This window comes from Homo sapiens, chromosome X, assembly GCF_000001405.40.
Source record: "Homo sapiens chromosome X, GRCh38.p14 Primary Assembly".
NCBI lineage: Eukaryota > Metazoa > Chordata > Mammalia > Primates > Hominidae > Homo > Homo sapiens.
Genome location: NC_000023.11, coordinates 15281310 through 15295255, shown reverse-complemented (window position 1 = coordinate 15295255; position 13946 = coordinate 15281310). Strand labels below are relative to the sequence as shown.

Sequence of the window (13946 nt, the reverse complement as noted above, 5' to 3'; positions counted from 1 at the left end):
TCCTGGCCAACATGGTGAAACCCCGTCTCTACTAAAAATACAAAAACTAGCTAGGCATGGTGGCACGCGCCTGTAGTCCCAGCTTCTTGGGAGCCTAAGGCAGCAGAATCTCTTGAACCCAGGAGGCGGAGGTTGCAGTGAGCCGAGATCACACCACTGCACTCCAGCCTGGCAACAGAGCAAGACTCCATCTAAAAAATAAAAAAATTAAAAAAAATTCTTTTTGTATTTGTCTTCCCTAATGGAATTCAGCCTACTCAAGGAGAGGCAATTGTTCAGCCCACTCAAGGAGAGGCAATTGTCTTATCATTGTTTCCAAAACATTAGCACCTAGTAGATGCTCAATAAATGTTTGTTGACGTGAACTAAGAGAAATTTATAGGAAATCGCATAAGAAGACAACTTCCTAGACTGAGGGTGAGGATGAAACTTAGTAAAACACAAATCAAACTAGTCCTACCAAATATTTTTTAGTAAAAATATAGAAACCCCTAGCAATATAAATTTACACACATTTTCCCCTGACCTTGTCTGTCTCTGCCATCTTAGCATATTATCTTTAACTTTCCAATTTAATGGGGGTTAGGCTGGGTGTGGTGGCTCACACCTGTAATCCCTGCCCTTTGGCAGGCTGAGGCAGGAGGGTCATTTGAACCCAGGAGTTTGAGACCAGCCTGGGCAAGATAGCTAGACGCTGTCTACAAATAATTTTTCTAAATTTGTGGGTCATGGTGGTGCACGCCTGTAGTCCCAGCTGCTCAGGAGGCTGAGGCAGGAGGATCATTTGAGCCTAGGAATTCGAGGCTGCAGTGAGCTATGATCATGACACTGCACTCCAGCCTGGATAGCAGAGCAAGACCCTGTTTCACGGGTTATATTGCAACTCTGGAAACAAGTCTTTTTTTGTGTCCAAAGCAAGGACATTTAGAATCCTGATTATCACAAGCATGCATCCTTAGTTGTTGAAGCAAAATTGTTTCACATCACAAACTTGACTGTCCTATATTTCAATGGCATCAGAGGCTCCCTACCACTCCTGCGGTTCCCGATGTTCTTTCCAATCTATTGCTGATACACAAAGATGTCTCCCAGCCCTGCTGGTTCTCATGTGCTTCCCACATCCCTACAAGGTACCAAAGATGGTTGCAGACACCATGTTGATGGCTATTTTCTTTCCTTTTTTTAAATTTAATCTTTTAATTTTATTTATTTATTTTTATTTTTATTTTTTATTATACTTTAAGTTTTAGAGTACATGTGCACAACGTGCAGGTTTGTTACATATGTATACATGTGCCATGTTGGTGTGCTGCACCCATTAACTCGTCATTTACATCCTAATGCTATCCCTCCCCCCTCCCCCCACCCCACAACAGTCCCCGGTGTGTGATGTTCCCCTTCCTGTGAAACCAACCCAAATGTCCAACAATGATAGACTGGATTAAGAAAATGTTGATGGCTATTTTCTATGTCCCTTTGGCTTGGTCATGCTATCTCTAGAAGTAACAGCTGGCATGTGTAATTTGCATGGATTATAGTAGACCAGAGAGGAAGTTGTGGCAAGAAAGACAGTAGATCTGTGGAGAATTGCCAAGGATTTTGTAAGCATGGATTTTGGGACCACAGCCTGCCATGTTTGTTCATGATTCAGAGGGGAGTCATATTAATGGAAAATGGAAAATGGAAATAATTGTTGTTGCAAATGCTTATTGAGTGCTTACTGGGTGACATGTAATGTTTTAAGTGTTTACATATAGTAACTCGCTCGATCCACCCAATAACTTCATGAGGTTTCATAATACTGTAAAGATGTGGAGTTCCCTCACTTATTCACCAGCGTGGGGAATTCCTCTAGGCAAATACATAGGAAGACATACTTGGAGATGGTGAGAATGAAATAACAAATCCTTTGGGTCTCTCTTTGCCCATCATTAGGTCAATGGAGTGACAGTTCACGGAGCCACACCCCTCTTCAATGCTTGCTGCAGCGGCAGTGCTGCATGTGTCAATGTGCTGCTGGAGTTCGGAGCCAAGGCCCAGTTGGAGGTGCACCTGGCCTCGCCCATCCATGAGGCAGTGAAGAGAGGTAAATGAGCCACCACAATGCATGTGAAACATTGATGGGCTCACTCCAATCTGTATGAATCAATGGTCTAGTGTTAGTCATTCAAGGGTGACCCTGATCTTCCTCACCATTAGAATATGTGTGGCCTAGAAATCCCACAGCAGTAACTTCAATTTGCCTAAATCTTCAGGAAATACCAGTGTGGCACAAAAGAGCCCTACTTATAACTTCGGAATGCTTTCCTGACTCCAATTTCCCATTTCCTGGGGATGGTCTATTGGCAGGCCTTTCCAGATCCTCTTTGCTGGTGTTTTGGTGGCAGCTGGTACAGCCAAGGCAGTAGTTCTGACTTCCCTGAATTGTACTATGCTTATGTCTCTGTCCTTAGTAGGCAAGAATAGCTTATCCTCTAAAGCCCATAAAATACCAACCACTAACCTAAAATAAACTATGAAAGTATCTGAAAGCCAAGGCTGATACTATCTCTAATGGAATAGTAAATATAACCGTTCATAATAAGTTACACAATCTAGATGGGCTGATGACTTCAAGGTCATAGTTATTGAAAAGAAAAGGCTGCAACTTTCCAAAGTATAGCATTGGTAATCTTGAAGCTGACTCTAGACTCCTGTGTTGTCAGTTAATTTCCAAGTGAAGGAAAATAGTAAATTTAAGGAATTTAAAGACTGTATGTACAGACTAGACCTGAACCGAGAAGATGCCACTGAAAGGAGAAGGCCATTTGTCAAAGGTCACACCCAAAGAGCAACATTTTGATGATAGCAAGTGAGGGAGTTGTTCTCTTATACTGAGATCAGAAATACAATGGTGAAGTTAAAACACTCTAGAATAGTGATCTTTGCTGGTGTAACTGGAGATGAAATATTTTATTTCAAAAAGCAAAAGTGAAAGATTTGTTCCAGGTTATTAAACATGTCACTTGCCAATTTTTTCCAGTGGATTACTTTAAATGATGCAAAAGACCCAAATCTAAATTTATCTATGTATTTTATGTTCTAAATGTATTTAATACATATTTATTAATTAATAGCTGATGTTAGTCATTTCCCAAACATCATGTAAGTCCTTTAAGTTGTAGAGTAATGAACTACTTTGGAAATGATATAAATGTCTTTCTTTCTTTTTTTTTTTTTTTTCGACAGAGTCTCGTGCTGTTGCCCAGGCTGCAGTGCAGTGGCATGATTTCTGCTCATTGCAACCTCTGGCTCCTGGGTTCAAGCGATTCTCCTGCCTCAGCCTCCCAAGTAGCTGGGATTACAGGTGCCCGCCACCACAATTGGCTAATTTTTGTATTTTTAGTAGAGATGGGGTTTCACCATGTTGGCCACTCTGGTCTCGAACTCGACCTCAGGTGATCCACCTGACTCGGCCTCCCAAAGTGCTGGTATTACAGGCATGAGCCACCGTGCTCAGCCATATAAGTCTTTTTTTTTTAATTTTTTTAAATTTTTTTTTTATTTTTTGAGACAGAGTCTTGCTCTGTCTCACAGGCTGGAGTGCAATGGCACAATCTCGGCTCACTGCAACCTCCACCTCCTGGGTTCAAGCAATTCTCCTGCCTCAGCCTCCCACGTAGCTGAGATTACAGGCACCTGTCACAGTGCCCAGCTGATTTTTGTATTTTTTAGTAAAGACAGGGTTTCATCATGTTGGCCAGGCTGGTCTCAGACTCCTGACCTCAGGTGATCCACCCACCTCAGCCTTCCAAAGTGCTGGTATTACAAAAAGTCTTTATTAAAAATTTAATATTGATTTGAAGTAAATTTTTGAAGTAAAAATTAATATTATTTGTATTTCCATACAAATGTTTAAAAATTGATAAGTACTGAGAATGGTTTGAATTAATTAAGTATGTCTGCAGTGCTTGACTGATTATATTTGGAGCTTTTGGTATCTATGTGCCTATAAAACATATATATGCTCATAATAAACACATAATTTGTGTGTCTCTGTATATTTTTCTGTACTGTAAAAGCATGTTAAGGATAAATATCCACAGAATGTAAGCATGATTAGCAAATTCATTATTTTATACACTTGTATTAGTGCTAGCTATTTAACTTTTCTGTATTCATTTTTAAAACTTTCTGAGAATATTTAAATTTAACTCAAACTAGGCTGTTTCTTGTTCTTCAAAAAAAAGACAAGAATTATTCAAAAATATGTATTAAATACCCTGTATTTTCCAAGTAGTTTTAGGGACTTACTAGATATTATTTCTGGATTCTTATAGCTCTAAACCTCTATGAACAAGCTGAGTCATAGTTTGAGTCAATACCTTGACATATTGATGCTGTAATTCAGGTATAATATTTAATTATGTGAACAAATAGTTTGAATTGACAGTCCTGATTTGTACATTTTAATGCATATTTATACTTAATTTAGAATTTGTGATAAATCAGGTAGGTCTAAAATGAAGCTTACTTTTATGTTATCTACAAAAAATAGGTTGGCTAAATTAATTAGTAATGACATGATTTTTTAGGGAGATATTTAAATCTTCAAAGAGAACTAACTCTTTGCAAGCTCCCATCAATACCTCAGAAGCACTCTCTCCTGAACAAAGCATTCACAGGTTGCAAATTTATCATGTCTATCTATTTATTGGGCAAACTCTCAAAAGAGAATGCTTGCTTACATAGTTGTTGTTAGCCACTGAATATGAAAGTGTATTTAAATATATTCTATACTTAAGACTTCTTTATTCTTTCTCATAGGTATTTTTCAGACTAACCAAAGTACTGTTGCAGGCCATATATCCAATCTCACATGCATGGATAAAGAAGAGAATGAGAGATTTGTAATGGAGAGGCGACAGGGTTCTCTTGGGTTTGAGCACTAGCTTTTCAGAGTAATAATAGGCCTAGTCGTTTGTCCCTCTGGGTCTTGTCACTTCCATTTGTAAAATGGTGGCATCATTCTGGAGAGTGATTTCAACTGTGCTACTTGGAGCCCTTAGTTCAGTTAAAGTTAACTTGGGCTGTAAAGAGGAGCTGGAGTGGGGAAGCATGGGCATGCTCCTCTTTTTATTGGTATTATTTTGGTGGTTTCTACCTAAGATTTCCAAAAACAAACACAAAAATGTTTTTATGCTACAAAAAGAGATCTAGGTTATTTAATTAATTTATTTATTTATTTATTTTGAGACAGAGTCTCGCTTTGTCGGCCAGGCTGGAGTGCAGTGGCGCTATCTCGGCTCACTGTAACCTCCTCCTCCCCGGTTCAAGTGATTCTCCTGCCTCAGCTTCCCGAGTAGCTGGGATTATGGGTGTGTGCCACCATGCCCAGCTAATTTTTGTATTTTTAGTAGAGATGGGGTTTCACCATGTTGGCCAGGCTGGTCTCGAACTCCTGACCTCAGGGAATCCGCCGGTCTCAGCCTCCCAAAAAGCTGAGATTACAGGCGTGAGCCACCACACCCGGCCAACCTAGGTTATTTCTAAAGCCCATTTCAGATAAGCAATCCTATAATTCTGTTAATATTTAATATGTCCCTTACTTGAGTGAGGGTATCTTGTGTTCCACCAGGTCACAGAGAGTGCATGGAGATCCTGCTGGCAAATAATGTTAACATTGACCATGAGGTGCCTCAGCTCGGAACTCCCCTATATGTGGCCTGCACCTACCAGAGGGTAGACTGTGTGAAGAAACTTCTAGAATTAGGTAATTTCCAAAATTATTTTCATGAAGAAACCTGTTAACTTTGTTGATTTTCTACAGCTTCAAAGATGAAGTTCTTGTCATGGTTGAAAAATATTCGGTTAGCATTTTATGTTTGAATGCTAAAAACAAAACTTCTCTAGAGAAATGAGTGTCTGTATTTCTCAGTCCTGCTTCCTTTGATGTTAACTCCATTTACCTGGTATTGTTCTCCCTGGTTGTCACAAGATAGCTGCCAGCAATACCTGGGCTTACAGCCCTCCTTATCCATACGCAGCAAGAAAGAGCATTGGCTCTTTTTAAGTCACATGCCCATCTTTGAACCCCTCATGGGGGCCAAGGGAATACAATATATTGATTAGTTTAGGCCTAGATTTCAGCCTACTCTGCATTTATTAGGCTTCACTGGAAACACGAGAACTGAAACTAACAAGAGGGTGGTTTACCTTTGGGAAATCTAGGTATGCTTGCCAGGAAGATGCTGGACGGTAAAAACAGACATTTGCTACAGGCTAGTTTATATCTATCCTGCTACAGTATCTAGTCATTTTAAAAGCAATTCTAAAAGGCATATACAGAAACCAAGAGTCCGTGGAAAAATGAAATATCTTTTTTTTTTTTGAGATGAAGTTTCGCTCTTATTGCCCAGGTTGGAGTGCAATGGCGTGACCTCAGCTCACTGCAACCTCCACCTCCAGGGTTTAAGCGATTCTCCTGCCCTAGCCGCCGGAGTAGCTGGGATTACAGACGCACACCACTACACCCGGCTAATTTATTGTATTTTTAGTAGAGACAGGATTTTACCATGTTGGCCAGGCTGGTCTCGAACTCCTGACCTCAGGTGATCCACCTTCCTCAGTCTCCCAAAGTGCTGGGATTACAGGTGTGAGCCACTGTGCCCGGCCGGAAAAATGAAATATCTTGAAACTATTCTTTGGTTAAAGATTCAACAAACTTAGCCCCTGACATAAAGGTGGAGATTTAGTAAAAACCTTTAGTTGTGAATTTTTATCTTGAGGAAGTTTTTGTCTTTTTTATTTCCCATCATTTACTATTCTCTATAGTAAGTTCAGAAATCATTTTTTGAGCCCCAAATAATATAAATACTAAATAAACTTAGCTTTATCTTTTGTCCCAAAACATAATAACTATGTAACAGGAGCCTCAAATACTTTATTTTGTATGCCACACAGTTTATACGGGAAAGCAAGTATTTAAAATGACTAAAACTATCTAAATTCACTTTTCTCACCAAAGAATTTCAAGTAGTCTTAGTAGGCATTGCTGAGGTTCTAGGCTTGAGTTGCATATTTTCAAACATTTGTCAAGTATGTCATGGTACTTAAAATGTCTTTATATGCAATGACTATATTTGAAGCTCATTGTGCTTTACATTACATTTAGTGTTGAATTGTGGCCATCTGTTTTGTTAAGGAGCCAGTGTCGACCATGGCCAGTGGCTGGACACCCCACTCCATGCTGCAGCGAGGCAGTCCAATGTGGAGGTCATCCACCTGCTAACCGACTATGGAGCTAACCTGAAGCGTAGAAATGCTCAGGGCAAAAGTGCGCTTGATCTGGCGGCTCCAAAAAGCAGCGTGGAGCAGGCACTCTTGCTCCGTGAAGGTAACCAAGGGCTGGGTATCCATTCCTCTTCCATAAGCACATTCTCTCCCCTTCCTGTCTCATCTGTAGCATTTTTTCCTTTTTCTTTTCTCTTTTTAATTGAAGGTGGCATTGTGGGAGGTGATAGGCCCTGCCGTCACTGACCTGTCTTCTGGGATTTTATATGCTGTGTATATTCACTAACAACCAAAGGGCATTTACCTATAACCAGAGTGTTGCTTTGTATTTTATATAACAAGAAAATAACCAGAAAACCGGCTGGGCGTGGTGGCTCACGCCTGTAATCCCAGCACTTTGGGAGGCTGAGGCGGGTGGATCACAAGGTCAGGAGTTTGAGACCAGCCTGGCCAGCATGGTGAAATCCTGTCTCTACTAAAAATACAGAAATTAGCCAGATGTGGTGGCTGGCGCCTGTAGTTCCAGCTACTTGGGAGGCTGAGGCAGGAGAATCGCTTGAACCTGGGAGGCGGAGGTTGCGATGAGCAGAGATCACACCACTGCATTCCAGCCTGGGTGACAGAGCGAGACTCCGTCTCAAAAAAAAGAAAACCAGAAAACCTTGTTTATACCCCGAAAATCTTGAATTTCCATTTCTGTCCTGGCATAAGCGTATGATTGAGCAAACCAAAACTCTGCTTTGTAATATTGGGAGACAATCTGATGGCAAATTCAAAAGACTTGAGTCAGAGTCTGTAGGGGAGGACACAGAGTATTTCAGAAATCCGACTAAATGGTGAGGTTGTTTGCCTGTTCTCCAGATCAGGGAGTAGGTGGGTCTGCATTCTTCATTGCTTCATTCCCGTTTCCACCATGAGCATTAAGAGCAACTACTGATGCCAGAAGAGGTAAGGCGAGCATCTGAAATTCAGAAGAGAACCAATTCAGAAGAGAACCTCTTATGTCTATACAGTAAGAAAATATTTTCGGAGCCTATATTGATTATTTGTGTGCCTGAAGAATATTAAAGATAATTATAATTATTCAGCTCTACGTATGCCAGGCACTGGGCTAAATTTGAAACATAGATCAAGCTCACTGAATTTTTAAAACTTTAGAGCAGTGGGAACTTTATATGGTAGTAGCTGGTTGCTATGCCAGGTACAAATGGGAAAAGAAAAGCATTGACAAGGTCACACAGCTAGCTACATAATAGAATTAGGTAGGATTCTGAGCCATCTGACCCCAGAGTGTGCACTTTTTTTTTTTTTTTTTTTTTTGAGATGGAGTCTCACTCTGTCTCCAGGCTGGAGTGCAGTGGTGCGATCTCGGCTCACTGCAACCTCTGCCTCCCGGGTTCAAGCGATTTTTCTGCCTCAGCCTCCTGAGTAGCTGGGACTACAGGCGTGCACCACCACACCCAGCTAATTTTTGTATTTTTAGTAGAGACGGGGTTTCACCATGTTAGCCAGGATGGTCTCGATCTCTTGACATTGTGATCCGCCCGCCTCAGCCTTCCAAAGTGCTGGGATTACAGGTGTGAGCCACTGCACCTGGCCATCAGAATGTGCACTCTTAATGTCATAAGGCCCCAACCCTGAATCTTTTGAAACATTCAGTGAGGAGGGTCTTATTTCACTCACCAGTTCCATTTTGTGAAACCACTACATCATATATACCTTCCAAGTAGAATGCTTGGTTTTAACCATTTTATGAATAGTCTTTCTAAATCAGTGCTTCTTAAGATTTAACATGCATATCAGTTCACTTGAGGATTTCCTTAAAATACAGATTCTCATTCAGGAGGTCTAGGATGGGACCTGTGACTCTGCATGTCTAGCAGGCTCCCACGTGATGTTGATGGTGCTGGTCTGAGGACCACACTTTGCGTACCACTGGTCTAGATTATTATTATTGTTATTATTATTATTATTATTTTAGACGGAGTTTTGCTCTTGTTGCCCAGGCTGGAGTGCAGTGGCGTGATCTCGGCTCACTGCAACCTCCGCCTCCCGGGTTCAAGCAATTCTCCTGCTTCAGCCTCCTGAGTAGCTGCGATTACAGGCGCGTGCCACCACGCCCAGCTAATTTTTTGTATTTTTAGTAGAGATGGGGTTTCATCATGTTGGCTAGGCTGGTCTCGAACTCCTGACCTCAGGTGATCCACCCGCCTCAGCCTCCCAAAGTGCAGGGATTTCAGGCGTGAGCCACCGCGCCTGGCCAGGATTATTTTCAATAGTCTAGATCATTAATCATTGTTCTTTTATTTGAATCTTCACCAGAAGAATTATGATCTTCCTCAGCAGATCCGAGCTTGGAAATACCAGCTACTTTCCAACTGTTAGCAGAGACTATAGTTTATAGAAGTTTTCACATTTCCTATTTTCTTCCATCAAAAATGTTTCTAGGACTAGGATTTGTAGACCTGGATATCCTGGACAGGGCCTAGCTCCTCTGTCCTTTGTCTTCATAAATATAGCCACTTGCTCTAGAAAGATTAATACTGGCTGGGCGCGGTGGCTCACACCTGTAATCCCAGCACTTTGGGAGGCCCAGGCGGGTAGACCATGAGGTCAGGAGTTCAAGACCAGCCTGGCTAAGATGGTGAAACCCCGTCTCTACTAAAAATACAAAAATTAGCTGGGTTTGGTGGCACCCGCCTGTAATCCCACCTACCCGGGAGGCTGAGGCAGAGAACTGCCTAAACCCGGGAGGCAGAGGTTGGAGTGAGCTGAGATTGAACCACTGCATTTCAGCCTGGGCGACCGAGTGAGATTCTGTCAAAAAAAAAAAAAAAAAAAAAGAAAGATTAAATACCAACTACATCAGAGTTCACTCTCCTGTCAGTGTCTCTGGGCACTGGACAATTTGTCTACATTACCATTTTGCAGAGGAGGTTAAGTAGGACAACAGGTAAAGAAGTTTTCTATTCTTGCTTCCCAAGATTTTAACTAAGATCGATTGTTTGGTCCTCCAGGTAGCTTTCTATCTCATGGATGCTCCTTGGCAATGTGAAGCCAAATGTTAACCTGGCTATTCGCATATGCAGTCCATCATTTTTCATGGGGTGTGAGATGCTGTTACAGTGGATTTTTTTGAAAAGGAAAACTTTGTGTAGACCAGTAATTAGGTTTTCTTGAAGAGATCTTTACTGATAACAGTCAGGTTAGGAAATAATGACTGTGCAACTAGTATTGCAGCCAAAAGCTCATTCATCCTATTCAACCATATTCTGGACTCTCATCAGCTGATTTTCCTTAAGGATTCAGAGCCATTCAAAGCCATGGGCATGATGATTCTGTGAGACTCCTTGAGAGTCCATGAGACTCAGTTTCAGGGAACAATAGGGTCTGACTTGAGTCCTTCTTGCAGATCTCTATTGAGCTGGAATCCTTGCAAGAATAAAGGGCCTCTTCAGATTTAAGTTGAGACCCAGCCAGCACCACCTCATGGGCAGCTAGAGCCGGTAGGTCCAGGAGTACTTTGAGGGCTGAATATCTGGCCCCTGGCACATCTCCTAACACTGCCTCTGTCACCACGCAGGTGGAACTTCCCGCTGACACCCTTTCCGTATTGTCCCTCTGTTCTGTGGCTGTGTCTTGGAGTCCTGCGTGTTCAGTCCTTCCATTTGCATTTTCTCCTTGGCCAGTGTATTACTTTCTTTCTTTCTTTCTTTTTTTTTTTTTTTTTTTGAGGCGGAGTCTCGCTCTGTCGCCCAGGCTGGAGTGCAGTGGCCCGATCTCGGCTCACTGCAAGCTCCGCCTCCCGGGTTCACGCCATTCTCCTGCCTCAGCCTCCCGAGTAGCTGGGACTATAGGCACCCGCCACCACACCCGGCTAATTTTTTGTATTTTTAGTGGACACGGGGTTTCACCGTGTTAGCCAGGATGGTCTCCATCTCCTGACCTCGTGATCCGCCCACCTTGGCCTCCCAAAGTGCTGGGATTACAGGCGTGAGCCACCGTGCCTGGCCCCGTGTATCACTTTCATTGGCACATTCAATACATGAATGAGATGCATTCCCTTTAGACCCCACACCTCATTCCTAACTTGCCTCTGGTTAGCTTCATTCTTCAACATTGGTAATCCAAGTACCATTGGAAGATTAACTTAAAGAAATGCATCCCTTCCAGAGGGGCAAATCAGGATCTGCTGTCTGTATTTAGTGTCCGCTACCTCATTCTATAGTTCCTATACAGATCCAGCTTCTCTTCTGCTTTTAGAAAATTTCCGCCTCTTCCAGTTCTCTGATTTCCCCCTTCCACCCCACCTCCCACCACTATGAAGTTAACACCATTTTTATTTCTCTCTCAGGCCCACCTGCTCTTTCCCAGCTCTGCCGCCTGTGTGTCCGGAAGTGTCTCGGTCGAGCATGTCATCAAGCCATCCACAAGCTACATCTGCCAGAGCCACTCGAACGATTCCTCCTATACCAATAGTCCTAAGTGTTCCTGGGAAGATACTTGGAATGACACAGATTGTTGTCTGCTGTACCTAGAGTACCTAATGTAGAAGCTCAACAGCTTAGACTCCTAGTATCTTTAAATGAGCTCAGTCGAAGTAAATCCCCCATGAGCTAGAACACTTGAGGAGTGGAAACTCCTGGTTAGTTTAATGTTCTCATTAACCAAGGGGCAAGTAGAAACCATTTAGCTTTTAGCTCTTGTTGTTAAGAAACTTAAAAGAACTGTGAAGTAGAGTGAAAACAATAGGCTGTTTTTTGATGATTCGGGATCTTCTTGTACCTAAAAGTCAACATTCTGAATATTGTATAGACACATATAAATTCAGGTGGATAAGATTATAACAAATGTTAGGTATTCCAAGATATGTTCTTGATTTAGTTCCTTCCTTCAGCCCTTCCCCACTTTTTTTCTTTCTTTCCTTGAATAAATCTGGTATAATTTTGATTTTTTGTATATATATACGTATATATATATACATACATATACGTATATATATATACGTATATATATACACACACACACATGCACTCATATATTTAATGTTTTCAAAGTCCTTAATATATATAGTTCATATATGTTTTCAAAGTCCTTAATATATGTATAAAGCTTATATATATATGTTTTCAAAGTTCTTTATATATAAAGTTATATATATTTATATAGACTTTATATATATATACATATATAAAGTTAAGGACTTCAGAAACATTGTAGTTAACTGAGGCTTCCAGTTACTGCGGTCCTGGTTGATAAGAGAGACTTTGGAAGAGATCAGTGCACCCAGAGGTTGGCATCTATTGCTTATTGCTTCTGATATTAAATGCTGTTATTTGAAGTAAGCAGTTCTAGGATTGAGAACACTGGGTGTCCCCAACAACCTGAACCCACAGGCATTGTCTGAGGCATGTTGCAACCCAAGCACTGGCTTATTTTCAAAGTCAAGATGCTCAGGGTTTTTGAAATAATTACATACTGATGCCAGCCACCAAAGTGGGCTCAATGCTGGGTCAATATTTTTTTCTGTGGATAGGGGCCCAAAATAAGCACAAAGGTATATAAAAAGAGGCTTCTCCTTTTCTGTCTTCTCCTTCTTCTCATTTCTCTCTCCTTCTGTCACCCCTCCTCTTCCTCTATTCTTTCTCTTTTTTGTGAATTTAGAACATGGGAACTGGATAGACTTTTAATTATTGTAAGTATTACTGTCATGGTTCAGTATTCAGTTCTAAAATGAAAATTCCCTCTCAGATCATCCTAAGACTCATTTCACACATGTTTTTTTTTCCCCCAATTTTTCTAGACCTTTGGCTCTCAACTGGAGACAATTTTGCCCCACTCCCACTGAGACATTTGTCAATGTCTGCAGACATGTTTAGTTGCAACAACTGGGGGAGAATTGCTACTATCATCTAGACGGTGGAGATCAGGGATGCAGCTAATCACCCTACAGTGCACAGGAGCCAGCAACAAAGAATTATCAGATCTGGCCGGGCATGGTGGCTCACGCCTGTAATCCCAGCATTTTGGGAGGCCGAGGCAGGCAGATCGCACTGTCAGGAGTTCGAGAACCGCCTGGCCACTATGGTGAAACCCTGTCTCTACTAAAAATACAAAAGTTAGCCAGGCGTGGTGGCAGGTGCCTATAGTCCCAGCTACTTGGGAGGCTGAGGCAGGAGAATCACTTGAACCCGGGAGGCGGAGATTGCAGTAAGCCAAGATCACGCCACTGCACTCCAGCCTGGGTGACAGAGCGAGACTCCGTCTCAAAACAAAAAAAAAAAAAAGAAAGAAAGAAAGAAAGAAAAACAAACAAAAAAAAGAATTATCAGGTACAAAATGTCAATAGTGCCAAGAGTGAGAAACCCTTCTCTAAGCCTGTGCTATTCAATACAGTAGCTGCTAGCTACATATGGCTAATGAGCACAGGAATTGTGGATAGGCTGAATTAAGATGTGTTGTAAGTGTAAAATACATATTACATTTTAGTGATTGAGTAAAAAAAGAATATGAAACATTATGAACTTTGTTTTGTTTTCTTTTTTAGACGGAGTTTCACTTTTGTCATCCAGGCTCGAGTGCAATGGTATGACCTTGGCTCATTGCAACCTCTAAGCCTGTGCTATTCAATACGGTAGCTACTAGCCACATATGGCTAATGAGCACAGGAATTG

At 41.6% G+C, this 13946-nt stretch overlaps 1 protein-coding gene across 3 annotated transcripts in view; it reads left to right on the top strand.

Moving 5' to 3' along the window:
- ASB11 (ankyrin repeat and SOCS box containing 11) overlaps positions 1 to 13559 on the top strand; it is a 33944-nt gene extending 20385 nt beyond the window's left edge. For all 3 annotated transcript variants that reach the window (NM_001201583.2, NM_080873.3, NM_001012428.2), the window contains exons 4-7: positions 1936 to 2086; positions 5618 to 5752; positions 7184 to 7375; positions 11627 to 13559. In NM_001201583.2, coding sequence (NP_001188512.1) covers positions 1936 to 2086; positions 5618 to 5752; positions 7184 to 7375; positions 11627 to 11751 — 603 coding nt within the window. In that variant the 3' untranslated portion in view covers positions 11752 to 13559. The remainder of the gene's footprint in view (positions 1 to 1935; positions 2087 to 5617; positions 5753 to 7183; positions 7376 to 11626) is intronic.